Genomic DNA, 11,638 nt, shown 5'->3' with positions numbered 1-11,638 from the left:
CCTCCTCAGAATACGCGAGCTAGAGCTCCGCCCACGTTAGTCAGTCCTCCCTGCGCGGCGAGAAAAATGGCGCCCCCACGTCGCGTCTCCTCCCACCGCTCGCCTTCTTCCCGGAAGCTAAGTTGTATCGCGAGATTTCGGCCTGACTATTACTTGGGCCACGGAAATAGCCAACCCTTTTCTTCCGCACGGTTGGAGGAGGTCGGCTGGTTATCGGGAGTTGGAGGGCTGAGGTCGGGAGGGTGGTGTGTACAGAGCTCTAGGACACCAGGCCAGTCGCGGGTTTTGGGCCGAGGCCTGGGTTACAAGCAGCAAGTGCGCGGTTGGGGCCACTGCGAGGCCGTTTTAGGTAGGTTGCTAAGAGGGCGAGGCCGTCCGGGCCTGGCGGGCGGGGGAGGCGTTGCATATCTGGGGTTTCCCGGGGCCCCTTCGTTGGTCCGGAGGATCGAGACTCCGAAGTCGGTCCGAGAGGGTGAAGGGATCACGGCCGCAGGCCACTCCGCGCCACGCGGCTGGTATGAGTCCCACACAAACGTGGTTGTAGTGTGGACGGGCTTCATTATATCTTGAGATGGAGGTGTTAAATCGTGTTGCGGACAAGTTTAACCTTATTACGTGATTTAAATGATTTAACCTTCGTATGTGAGGTACCCATTACTCGCGCCGGTTTTCTGCAGGTTAGGCGCTGCCGGGTGAGAGGCGCTGGTGGTCACAGCGTTAGCTCCGGGTAAAGCGCCGCTCTCTGCCCACGTGGCCTCTAAGAATTGCAGAATCCCCACGGAGGCATCGACACCCAAGTAGGAGTGTCTTCTAAACACTTCGAAAAAGTGATTATTGAGCTAGCTTTATTTTGATAATCCCTACTTTTAAAAAAAATTAACTACAGGTATACCGTTAAAGCATGGGGGCAAATTTTTGTTGAATTCCGTTTTTGAGCATTCGATATTTAATGACTTTGTAGAATCTTGTACTTAAAAAAACTAGTAAGACCTTGTACCAGGAAAATACCACAGGGGGCATTTAACAAATCTGAGCTCTTGGTGACCTTATCGTTTCATATTTTAAATATTTTGCTAGTTCATCCTAGGATTTATATGTAATGACTCATGTCAGGTCCCAAGAAGCTACAGAATGAGACAAGAGATTGACTAAGGCATGTACAATAATGAAATAAGTAGTTATCTTTAATTTTTGTTGCCATGCCTTTTTTTTTTTTTTTTTTTTTTTTTTTTTTTTTCCTGAGACAGGGTCTTGCTCTGTCGTCCAGGCTGGAGTGCAGTGGTGCAATCTCGGCTAACAGCAACCTCCACCGCGGCTTAAGCGATCCTCCCGAGTGGCTGGGAGCAAAGGCACGGGCCAACACACCTAGCCAGTATTTTAAGAATTTTTTGTAGAGACAAGGGTCTCCTTGTGTTGCTGAGGCTCACTACATACAAGCTCCACCTCCCAGGCTCAGGTATTCCACCTACCCCAGCCTCCTGACCACAGGCGCGCGCCACTATTCTGGCTAATTTCCGTATTTTTTGTAGAGACGGAGTTTCACCACGTTGCCCAGGTTGGTCTTGAGCTCCTGGGCTCAAGCGATCCGCCCGCCTCGACCTCCCAAAGTGCTGTGTTACACAGGCCTGAGCCACCCAGACCAACCTGTTTTTCTTTTTTCTTTTAGCTCACAAGAAGGAATCTTTTTCTTTTTTTTTTTTTTTTTTTTTGGTATGTTGTATACTCTCTACCATGGGGATGAAGACACAAGAATTATGATAGTTCATTGAAAAAGGTTGAGAATTCAGAACTTGTCAGTTTCCACCAATAATGGCAAAGATACAATATGACAAAGTTCAGTTGCTTAAATGAATCTAGGAATGAAGAATCTAGGAATTATAATGGAGAGGTGATTAGGAGTTTAAAATGGTTTATTGATTGGAGATCCTTTTCCTGGTTTATATAGGGCACACTTTGCTTTAGGAATTCCCCCTTTGATCTTGGAAAACGGCTTTTAATTGTACATTAATACTGTATTGGTAATTGTACGTTAAAATATGTGGCTAATGATAAAACTACATTTTTTACTTATATTGAAAGATGCTTTTGTTGGAAGGGACGGTACTTTTTTGGAATCTTGTTGCGTTGAATACATTTAGAGGGTAACAACTGAAAGAACCTGTGAATAGAATTTCTGGATTTCTTTTTAAAGAAACTGATCTGAAATGGATAAGAAGCTTAACCTTGGTAAATGATTTCGCCTGAAATCATTGGCATAGTCTGACCACGTTCAACACTGTAGTAGATACTGTCAATATTTAGGGAAGCTTTGTCATATTTACTAAATTTCATAATTTCAGAAAACTGTTTAAAACAAAGAGCAATTGATGGATAAATCAGGAATAGATTCTCTTGACCATGTGACATCTGATGCTGTGGAACTTGCAAATCGAAGGTGAGTGGATTCAATCATGTTTATTGTATCTGAATTATGAGAAACTATTGTATATAATGAGTGACAGTAAAGATAATTTTCAGGAATTGGGAAAGAAGGAAAACTAGATTTCACTGACCTTCCAAGTTTATCTAGTTACATAGATTGATATAATAGCATTGCAAATACTTTAAATTCAAAATGTGAATATATTATGGGACACATTCGTCGAGAAAAAATGTATTCTTTGGGTCATATTAGCATCTCTTCCAGACTACATCCTCCGGTTCGGTAGGCTGTGTTTGTTTTACTCAGACACTCTTAGCAGTGAACCGAACCATACAGCCTTTTGGAGCTCATACATTGTCTTGAAAGATACAGTTTTTTTGTAAGCTGAGCATAGTGGTGCATGCCATTAGTCCTAGCTAGCTACTTGGGAGGCTGAGGCAGGAGCATCCCTGGAGTTTCCAGGAGTTTGAGGTTGCAGTGAGCTGTGATTGCACCACTGCACTCCAGTCTGGGTGACAGCAAGACGATGTCTACAAAACTCTTTAATAAGAGCTGTAGCATTATGGGCTATTTAAATAGGATGATCAGTAGAAAGGCTAGCTGGTTCTGAGCCCATCCTTTAAAAAATTTTTAATTCTGGGCATGTTTTCTGAGTTGGTCTTGGAAGAAATGTACATTTAGGACTGGGTATTAATGGTAATAAGCAGTAAGAAAAGAAGATGAAATTAATTTTTTTCCCATTTTTCTAGTGATAACTCTTCTGATAGCAGCTTATTTAAAACTCAGTGTATCCCTTACTCACCTAAAGGGGAGAAAAGAAACCCCATTCGAAAATTTGTTCGTACACCTGAAAGTGTTCACGCAAGTGATTCATCAAGTGACTCATCTTTTGAACCAATACCATTGACTATAAAAGCTATTTTTGAAAGATTCAAGAACAGGAAAAAGAGATATAAAAAAAAGAAAAAGAGGAGGTACCAGCCAACAGGAAGACCACGGGGAAGACCAGAAGGAAGGAGAAATCCTATATACTCACTAATAGATAAGAAGAAACAATTTAGAAGCAGAGGATCTGGCTTCCCATTTTTAGAATCAGAGAATGAAAAAAACGCACCTTGGAGAAAAATTTTAACGTTTGAGGTGAGTCAGCATTTTACATACATGGCTACACATAACTCAAGATGCCCAAAATGATTTGTTGGCCAATTTAGAATTGTCTCAGATATACTGGGAACAGACTGTCTGCAATTTTGATACTCTTCTATACTGACTTACCCCTAAAGTCCACCCTATCCTTCAACTGAATCTTGACTTGTATCTCTTAATATAACTACACTTTGCCATATTTAAAAGATAGTGCTCCAAGGCTCTTTGTATAAAATCCTTTGATCTTATCCCATCTCAGGTCTTTAAACACAACCCTAAAACTCAGTGGGGATAATAAAAGCTCACATAACTTGAAATTACTTTTGCAGTAACCTAAACTAAAACCACACATGCCTTATGTTCAGTGGATATATTCTTAAGGCCTAGATGTTTCTAAGCCAATTATCTGAAAAATACGCTAATACTTAGGAGTAGACTTTTTTAAATATTTGAGAGTTGTATGTTGAATGAATTCAGAATTAATTTATGATCCCTTGCCAGAACCTGAAATTTTATTTGGGAGGATTAATACATGTTAATCTCTTCAGTTAATCTCTTAAGTTTAAGGTGATTATAGTAAACATTAGAAATCTTATTCCTGTTTTTACATTTTAAAATGCCTTTAGTAAGTCCCAGACATGACAAGATATGTACTTCACTTTTCCATGTTACCAGCTTAGGTAAATTCATAATTGTAATGTGAATTTTAATAATCAGCATTTGATAAGTCCACAAGTGGGGAGTAGTTAAGATAGCAAATTCAGAGTCTTTGCTAAGGGGGGGCATTGCCCTTTTTGAACATAGGCACCTGCTGGGTCTTAAAAATAAAATCTCGACATACTTATGGTGTTTTTAATATATAGCAAGCTGTTGCAAGAGGATTTTTTAACTATATTGAAAAACTGAAGTATGAACACCACCTGAAAGAATCATTGAAGCAAATGAATGTTGGTGAAGATTTAGAAAATGAAGATTTTGACAGTCGTAGATACAAATTTTTGGATGATGATGGATCCATTTCTCCTATTGAGGAGTCAACGTAAGTGGAATCATATGAAATACTTTGGTAATAGGTTATAAATTAAATTTCTATGTTAATTGCTTCATATTTTGCCTTTAATATAGTTATACTTAAATAATGAACAAAGATACAGAGTATGACAATTGGGATTATTACAGTTGAGCCAAGCTTGGCACACCGTTCATCTAGAATTCTCCAGAACACAAAATTCTCAAATTTTGTGTTTCCTTTGACTAGTATTGCAGTTTCAGTTATATTTCAGAGTGGAATATACAACTAATTAGGTCATCGAAGATTCTGTCATCTCGATGATAAATTTTAATATTACAGAGCAGAGGATGAGGATGCAACACATCTTGAAGATAACGAATGTGATATCAAATTGGCAGTAAGTGACTTATTTTTTTCCTATTCCATTTTGGGAAGGCAGGAGTTGGTTGATACAGAAGGAATTATATTTAGTTTTTCTCTTACACTTCATTTAACTTTTGAAAAGCTCTATAAGTTTACTGCAGGAAATGCAAGAAGGAAAATAATTTTTTAGAGACTTGATAAAGAACATGGGGTTTTCAGTACTATTTTTAATAAGTAGCATTCTGATACATATTATTGCTAGTTAGGATGTCAAATGAAAAAATAAGCAATGTTAATTTGGATTTTTAACATCTACATGTAGTCTCTAGGTTATCTGAAGTAATCCAGGGCATTCAGCTATATGTAATTACTAAACTATTTGAGTTATTGCTTAATCCATGATTTTTTGTTTGTTTTATGCAGGGGGATAGTTTCATAGTAAGTTCTGAATTCCCTGTAAGACTGAGTGTATACTTAGAAGAAGAGGATATTACTGAAGAAGCTGCTTTGTCTAAAAAGAGAGCTACAAAAGCCAAAAATACTGGACAGAGAGGCCTGAAAATGTGACAGGATCATGAATGTCAAAGGTGAAGCATATAGAAAAAACGACTTCATAGAAATGAATAAAGATAAATGTGGATATATGTACCAGTCTGGTGGTGAAGAAATTCTGAAACCCAGAACTTTATAACAAGAAAAAAAATTTTTAACCCTGTGAAGAAGTTTGTGAAAGAAACTTGTGAAGTAGTAATAATTAGAAAAAAAACCATTAAAACACCAGAGAAAATACATAGAAAAATTTGAGAAATTGTCATTTGATTTCTGAATAAGAGCTTACAGGTGTCCTGTGAGTATTGAAACAATGAAATGTAGTGATTTTAATTTTGAAAAGAAAATCTTAAAGTAACTTGACACCCAACCATCTTGAAGAGGGGATTTGAAATGCTGTAATTTTATCCCAGCTTTGTTCAGCCATGACAAGTGACCTGTCAGATGCTTAGTATTGTAATAACCTCATTTCCCTTTCCAAATTTAGAGTATCTTTAATACTATTTTTTTTAGACAGAGTCTCGATCTGTCACCCAGGCTGTAGTGCAATGGCCGCAGTCTTGGCTTACTGCAACCTCCATCTCCCGGGTTCAAGCGATTCTGCCTCAGCCTCCTTAGTAGCTGGGATTACAGGCGTTAGCCAGCACACCCAGCTAGTTTTTGTTTTTTTAGTAGAGACAGGCTTTCACCATGGTCTCGAACTCCTGACCTCAGGCGATCCGCCTGCCTTGGCCTCCCAAAATGCTGGGATTATAGGTGTGAGCCATGGCACCTGGCCTAATACTACTTTTAACTACCATTTTCACTTTTTATTAGTTCAAGAAAAGGCATACACATTTATTCAACATGTATACCTGGGGAGAACCAGTCATTACCCCGATGTTCATTATTTTGATCACCACGATAGAGCTGACTACTCTGCTATGTAGTGCATTTTGGGACTGCACTTATGTATGTTTTTGTTTAACGTGGACAAAGACTTACAGATAGGTGCAAAAAATAAATCCTCTTTTGCAACCCAGAACTCATTGTTCAGTATGAGTTTTGATACATATAAGAAGGGATATTATGATACCTGAGACAGTTGATTGATGGGAGTATTGATAGCCATAAAGGTTGGTTCCAGGCCAGGTGCAATGGGTCAAGCCTGCAATCCCCACACCAAGGTGGGAGTATTGCTTGAAACCAGGAGTTCAAGACCAGCCTAGGCAAGAAAGTAAGAAACACATCTCCACAAAAATTTAAAAATTAGCTGGGTACTGGGGCATGTGCCTGTAGTTGGAGTTACTCAGAAAGGGGGGAGGCTGAGGCAGAGTTGGAGGCTGCACTGAGCTTTGATGGCACCACTGTACTCCAGCCTGAGTAACAAAGACAGACCCTGTCTCTTAAGAAAAAAAGGTTGATTCCAGGCCTGTAGAATAGATAAACAGCATGGGATATGAGGGAAATCCTCAGCAGTATTAATTTTGCATTCCAATTTCATGTTGATGATATACACAATGGCTTTTTGTTTTAAAGGCTTTTATCTTGAGAACATGGTGTCTGGAGTTAAAGGTATGTCTCAATTTGAGTTTTCACATCATATTTGTTTATGTGTAGGAAACAGTATGTTGTCAGAGCAAGTTTCATTTTATTCAGGGACATTTCTACCATGCTTTTAATTCCCATTTATACTGATTTCTGAAAAGAAGAATCCTAGATTCACACATTTTATAGTGATGTGTCAGATTCATTTTAGTTGCAAGCATTAGAGGGTCCTGAATTTGTTAGTTTGTAGCAATAATCAGAACTTTGGATTTCCTACTTGAAGCCTACAGCATTATTTTGAATTAATGCACAATCTAAAATGAGGCAGAGGATTTTATGGTTTAATGCAAAATATAGTATAATAAAAGATGATTACACAGGTCATAAGAATTCATAAATTTGAATGATGTAGAGTTTGATTAAAAGTTATATAATGCCAAAGTCGTAACTTACAGGCACATTATATTCCTGTATTTTATAATGGATGACAATTAATTTTGAGCCAAGAATTAAAATTTGCTGAAATCTTCGAATTGGGAAAACAACATCCTCTGTTGCAATACTGAAGTTCATAACAACAGTTAGACTTTAAACTTAAATCTTAAGTTTAAATCTTTTTCCTTTGGTTCATGTAAAGGAGCTACTTGATGTTACTTTTTATTTATCATTCCTCTGGCTCCTAAGCACAACGTGATTGTGAAATTATTGTTTTTGTGATTAACGTAGTAGGAAGTTTCTGCAGTTGGCAATATTGTAAGAGCATATTGCAGTTTCTGCTCATAATTTCTTTCCTATGGAGTGTTAGACTTTGTTATTTATGTGTATAAATACTAGCTGGACACAGTGGTGCCTGTGGTCCCCAGCTACTCTGGAGGCTAAGGCAGGAGAAACACTTGAGCCCAGCGGTTTGAGGCTACAGTGAGATGTGATCCTGCCACATCTCACTGTAGCCTCGAACCCCTGGGCTCAAGTGATTCAGCAAGAATCACACGATTTTTAAAAGACATGGCAGATCCTGTGTCTTTAAAAAAAAATCAAAACCTTGTAAATAGTGGTTGAGGTCTATCCCGATGGGGCTTTTCCTGTAGCCTGCACATCGTTGGAAACGCCTCATAGAGTAACTCTGTGGTTTTACTTTACTCACAGGACTATTGTTAGATCTGTGGGAAGGAATTACAAGACAGTTGCTAAAAGTTTGAAAAAGACGGTTGCTAAACGTTATGAAAAACCAGATAATCTACTTTTTTACCTTAGGTATTGGCATACTCCACACATCTGTACCATTCTTGAGTGATCGCTTAGGTAAGTTTTAATTGGTGACAGTATAATCTTTTGGGAAATAATGATTACAGTTCAGATGATGAATTTAACTGTTCAACTGCTGAATGATAACGGGCATGAACTAAAACTTAATTCTGACAGAGCTGGATATGGCTGTATAATAAACTGGATCTTAAATTTATACTTGGGTTTTAGTTTTAATAACTGGAAATGTATCCTTTCTAAATCTTTAATTGGTACTTTCTATAGGAATGAATGTGATTTGAACTCATTCATGTTGAGAGGTAAGTAAAATATTTAACTTATAATAATCAAGGACTCAAAAGATGAAAAATAGAAATTACACCATCCCAGTATTTCAGGTATAACACAGAATTAGTAAGATACTGGCAAAAATATTACAATGTATATATTTGTATAGAGAAGGAAAATGAAGAGACTGCATGTCTATACCTACCAAACGAAACTACCTGTGTTCTTTGCATCATTATTCAACTGGCAGTTACACATATTTCATCCTAAAGTCACGTAAACCTGTGTGGATATGTTGAATCAATAGGGATATGAATTACATAAAAAGAATTTTGTGTAACTGGCAGTTTGAGCAACAATGAGCTTGACGTTTGTTGTCTGATCTGTTAAGTTACATGTATATATTCCATCTTTAAGTTTTATAGAGAGACTGGGCAAAGATTAGGCAAAGACTAGAGTTGTAGCTTAAAATGTAGTTAATGTAGCTTCCTTATTACAGTGACAATTAGGAAAAAAGCTCAAATTATTGTACTTGTTAAAGGAATTTGAGAGGTTTGTGAAAGCATTTCTCAGCAATATTGCAAATTTGGGAATACGAGTTGTACAGTTCAGTCATAATTGCACTGCATGGTATCTGCACTCAGCAGTTTACACCTGCTAGGGTGTTCAAAGGTCAGTGCTATAGAAATTCAGTATCTGGCATCGTTGGTTTTCTTGGCTTTGTGCTTGTTAAACCTGGTATTTCTACTGATACAGTATTTGTGTAGGTTTCTCAGAGTGTTCAGTTTGATATACTCTAAAATAGTAAGCAATGCTTTTTTTTCCAGGGTGTCAAATTGAGAACCAGGTAGATCCCCACCACCTACAGTAAAAAGGTAAGATTCTCTGTTTCTATTGATTCTGCTTGTTTCCCTCTATCAGTAGCACTGCCAGCATAACAAGAACTTCGTACAAATACACTACTAAGCTTTAAAGACTTTTACAATGCCTCATTCTAGAGAATGGGCACTGTTGATCATGGTGTCCAAAAATAGTTAATGTGGCTAAATTGAGACAGGTTATGCTTCCATCACAGTATGCATATTGCAGTGGTGACAATGAGACCTGTAACATTTTGCTATGTTTATGAGTAAAAATGTAGGAGAAAAATGTTGACTTTTCAATATTAGAAATAACATTTAATAAGGAATTTTCAGCTCTTATAGGACCACTTTTTTTATGTGCTGTATATTGACTGAAACATTGTAATGTGGTATACATTACTGTGTCTTGGATCAGGTGTCAAAATGTAACTGTACTTTGTACAATTCAACTTCTAGGACCCTAAAGTAAATTGGTTGAAGAAATTAGATCCCAAAGATTCTTGGTAAGTTAATTCATTACTTAAAAGGCCATGCAGGTTATTTTGTTGAATACTAGCTTTTCTCCAAATGTTATTTTAGGTTATTTATTTATCTAGCAATGCTATTGCAACATCTATCACCACTTAGGAGTAAAAAAAAGGACTAGGCTTACGTTATTATGTGTTTAAACTTCATTATTAACGATGTTATGATGATGGGCGAAATGTTCAACTGCTCTGAAGGGGCTGAATGAAAATGGCCTTTCTGAACATCCATTTACATTAAATATTGCATTGTATTTCAGAAGATTATAAAAGCTCAAAGGTAAAAGTTACCAGAAACATGATCATAGAGCAAATTCGGATATGAATGGGCATGGGATCATTGATTTTTAAAAATACCTATTAGTTTAAATAGCTATTTTAAGCATAGAATTTTCAATACCTTACTTGGGGTGCCGGGTTTCAGGATACTTTGGAACCTAAGCAACCTCATTCTTGAAAGATAGATTTATGTACTTAATAGTAAATATAAATTTGAAATACACATTTTTCCACAGGTGAATTTTGAAGTCTTCATCAGTATATCCATATTAAAACGAGATGACAGAAGCCAAAGTAATTATGGCAAGTAATGGTTTTTATCTTAACTATAAGTTATTTGCTCAAGGGTGTAATGGTCATTACCAAGGCTTTTAGAATGCAGTTTCTCATTTGCTGTGGACATGACCATAAAAAAATTTCCCAGTAGGTTTTCTATCTGCTACTTTGCTAGCAATCAGCTTATTGGGAACAGTTGATTAACTGTAATAGAAATGCAATACAAATAAAATGTGAACCACATGTGATTTTTCTTTAAAATCAGTGAGATTTGAAAATTCTCCTAGATCTCTTGAATCATGCAAATTTGCTTTGCCTTTATATTGTAACCCTTGTGGGTTGCTAATAACCAAGCAGTTTGTAGTAGAGTTAACTCAGGCTCGTTCTAGGGACTCATTCATGTTCACTCACTGTACACTCATCTCTGGAAATGTAAAATTTACTTTTATACTATTGTTATGTAGGGCTGACAGGACAACTGGATCAGTTTCATTAAAAAGGTATGTATGCATTAGAAAAGACATTTGTATGGGTCATTTCAAAGAGGGCTTATGAGGCTGTGAAACCCAGAGCTCTTAACGCTGTGACCAAAGATGGAAGTTCTCTATAGGAAGCCATAGCACTCCTAATGTTTGGTGCTATGTTTTCCTGAGGAGATATAAAACGTAATAATCCAGGATTGTTGCCATGTGAGAGTTTTAAAGGTTAATCAAAATTTCTCTTCTTCAGGGCAAACTTGAAGATAAATCTTTTGACTCCAGCTCTTTAGAGGATCTAAAGTGACCTTGATGGACAGTGGAAGAAATCACAACATGGAATTCCTCGAATAACAATTTATTGACTTTAAATAATTTTGTCTAATGCTACATATACACAATTAAAAAACCTTTACACTATTTCTAGAAAGTCAGCATGTATTTTTGGCTCGAAGTTTCTCTAGTGTTTTCTGTGGAAGGAATAAAAATTTGAGTTTCAGTTGTGTACTTCATGCTTGAAAAATTAAGTCCTTCTCCCTCAGTTATACTCACCTTATGGAATTCTTTTGCCCTTGCTCTGTTTTGGGCATAAGCTTCTTGTTTTGTTTTTTCTTCCTTTTGTTGTTTCACTTCAGCTAGTTGATTGTATAACCTGTAAAGAATTTATA

The 11,638-nt window shown here is 37.1% G+C and overlaps 2 protein-coding genes and 9 non-coding genes across 31 annotated transcripts in view, besides 2 other annotated features; 10 read left to right on the top strand and 1 right to left on the bottom strand.

Moving 5' to 3' along the window:
- Positions 7 to 516: an enhancer, noted in NCBI's record as "active region_5398". NCBI's record gives its function as "activates an Ori minimal core promoter by ATAC-STARR-seq in GM12878 lymphoblastoid cells {active_cell/tissue: GM12878}" and the evidence as "EXISTENCE:reporter gene assay evidence [ECO:0000049][PMID:35858748]".
- TAF1D (TATA-box binding protein associated factor, RNA polymerase I subunit D) lies at positions 176 to 11,477 on the top strand. Of its 3 annotated transcripts, none has more exons than NR_146091.2 (14): positions 176 to 349; positions 2,340 to 2,434; positions 3,172 to 3,562; positions 4,432 to 4,607; positions 4,920 to 4,977; positions 5,367 to 5,530; positions 7,011 to 7,046; positions 8,274 to 8,321; positions 8,550 to 8,584; positions 9,380 to 9,427; positions 9,872 to 9,918; positions 10,455 to 10,521; positions 10,959 to 10,994; positions 11,224 to 11,477. NR_146091.2 is itself a non-coding variant. In NM_024116.4 (6 exons), the coding sequence occupies exons 2-6, from the start codon at positions 2,367 to 2,369 to the stop codon at positions 5,508 to 5,510; spliced, it is 837 nt and encodes a 278-aa protein (NP_077021.1). In that variant the 5' UTR covers positions 176 to 349; positions 2,340 to 2,366; the 3' UTR covers positions 5,511 to 6,104. The 3 variants fall into 3 exon arrangements, 1 of the variants encoding a protein (NP_077021.1); NR_146090.2 differs by having other exon boundaries at positions 8,166 to 8,321; NM_024116.4 differs by lacking the exons at positions 7,011 to 7,046; positions 8,274 to 8,321; positions 8,550 to 8,584; ... (3 more) ...; positions 10,959 to 10,994; positions 11,224 to 11,477 and having other exon boundaries at positions 5,367 to 6,104.
- Positions 2,554 to 3,753: an enhancer, noted in NCBI's record as "CDK7 strongly-dependent group 2 enhancer chr11:93471084-93472283 (GRCh37/hg19 assembly coordinates)". NCBI's record gives its function as "activates an origin of replication core promoter dependent on BRD2, BRD4, P300/CBP, MED14 and CDK7 cofactors, with strong dependence on CDK7, by STARR-seq in HCT116 cells {active_cell/tissue: HCT116}" and the evidence as "EXISTENCE:reporter gene assay evidence [ECO:0000049][PMID:35650434]".
- On the top strand, positions 6,435 to 6,561 carry SNORA40 (small nucleolar RNA, H/ACA box 40). Its single transcript, NR_002973.1, has one exon. It is a non-coding gene; the product is annotated as a small nucleolar RNA, H/ACA box 40 (small nucleolar RNA).
- MIR1304 (microRNA 1304) lies at positions 7,907 to 7,997 on the top strand. The gene has a single exon (NR_031639.1). It is a non-coding gene; the product is annotated as a microRNA 1304 (primary transcript).
- SNORA18 (small nucleolar RNA, H/ACA box 18) lies at positions 8,074 to 8,205 on the top strand. The gene has a single exon (NR_002959.1). It is a non-coding gene; the product is annotated as a small nucleolar RNA, H/ACA box 18 (small nucleolar RNA).
- On the top strand, positions 8,371 to 8,443 carry SNORD5 (small nucleolar RNA, C/D box 5). Its single transcript, NR_003033.1, has one exon. It is a non-coding gene; the product is annotated as a small nucleolar RNA, C/D box 5 (small nucleolar RNA).
- On the top strand, positions 9,172 to 9,310 carry SNORA8 (small nucleolar RNA, H/ACA box 8). The gene has a single exon (NR_002920.1). It is a non-coding gene; the product is annotated as a small nucleolar RNA, H/ACA box 8 (small nucleolar RNA).
- Positions 9,538 to 9,667, top strand: SNORA1 (small nucleolar RNA, H/ACA box 1). The gene has a single exon (NR_003026.1). It is a non-coding gene; the product is annotated as a small nucleolar RNA, H/ACA box 1 (small nucleolar RNA).
- Positions 10,098 to 10,168, top strand: SNORD6 (small nucleolar RNA, C/D box 6). Its single transcript, NR_003036.1, has one exon. It is a non-coding gene; the product is annotated as a small nucleolar RNA, C/D box 6 (small nucleolar RNA).
- Positions 10,572 to 10,692, top strand: SNORA32 (small nucleolar RNA, H/ACA box 32). Its single transcript, NR_003032.1, has one exon. It is a non-coding gene; the product is annotated as a small nucleolar RNA, H/ACA box 32 (small nucleolar RNA).
- SNORA25 (small nucleolar RNA, H/ACA box 25) lies at positions 11,025 to 11,158 on the top strand. The gene has a single exon (NR_003028.1). It is a non-coding gene; the product is annotated as a small nucleolar RNA, H/ACA box 25 (small nucleolar RNA).
- Positions 11,313 to 11,638, bottom strand: part of CEP295 (centrosomal protein 295) — a 68,677-nt gene continuing 68,351 nt past the window's right edge. For 12 of the 19 annotated variants that reach the window (XM_011543047.2, XM_017018470.2, XM_011543049.2 and 9 more), the window contains one exon: positions 11,313 to 11,622. In XM_011543047.2, the coding sequence (XP_011541349.1) occupies positions 11,394 to 11,622 (229 nt within the window). In that variant the 3' untranslated portion in view covers positions 11,313 to 11,393. The remainder of the gene's footprint in view (positions 11,623 to 11,638) is intronic. The other 7 variants (XM_005274366.2, XM_005274367.3, XM_017018472.2 and 4 more) reach the window with 1 other exon arrangement.

This window comes from Homo sapiens, chromosome 11 (assembly GCF_000001405.40).
Source record: "Homo sapiens chromosome 11, GRCh38.p14 Primary Assembly".
Lineage (NCBI taxonomy): Eukaryota > Metazoa > Chordata > Mammalia > Primates > Hominidae > Homo > Homo sapiens.
This window is presented reverse-complemented; position numbering and strand designations above follow the sequence as displayed.

Bases quoted from the DNA above. Each gene is read 5' to 3' on its own strand.
- TAF1D (NM_024116.4), top strand. From the start codon at position 2,367: ATGGATAAATCAGGAATAGATTCTCTTGACCATGTGACATCTGATGCT. The intron at 2,435-3,171 runs GTGAGTGGATTC...CCATTTTTCTAG, and splicing joins GTGGAACTTGCAAATCGAAG to TGATAACTCTTCTGATAGCA. The intron at 3,563-4,431 runs GTGAGTCAGCAT...TTTAATATATAG, and splicing joins GAAAAATTTTAACGTTTGAG to CAAGCTGTTGCAAGAGGATT.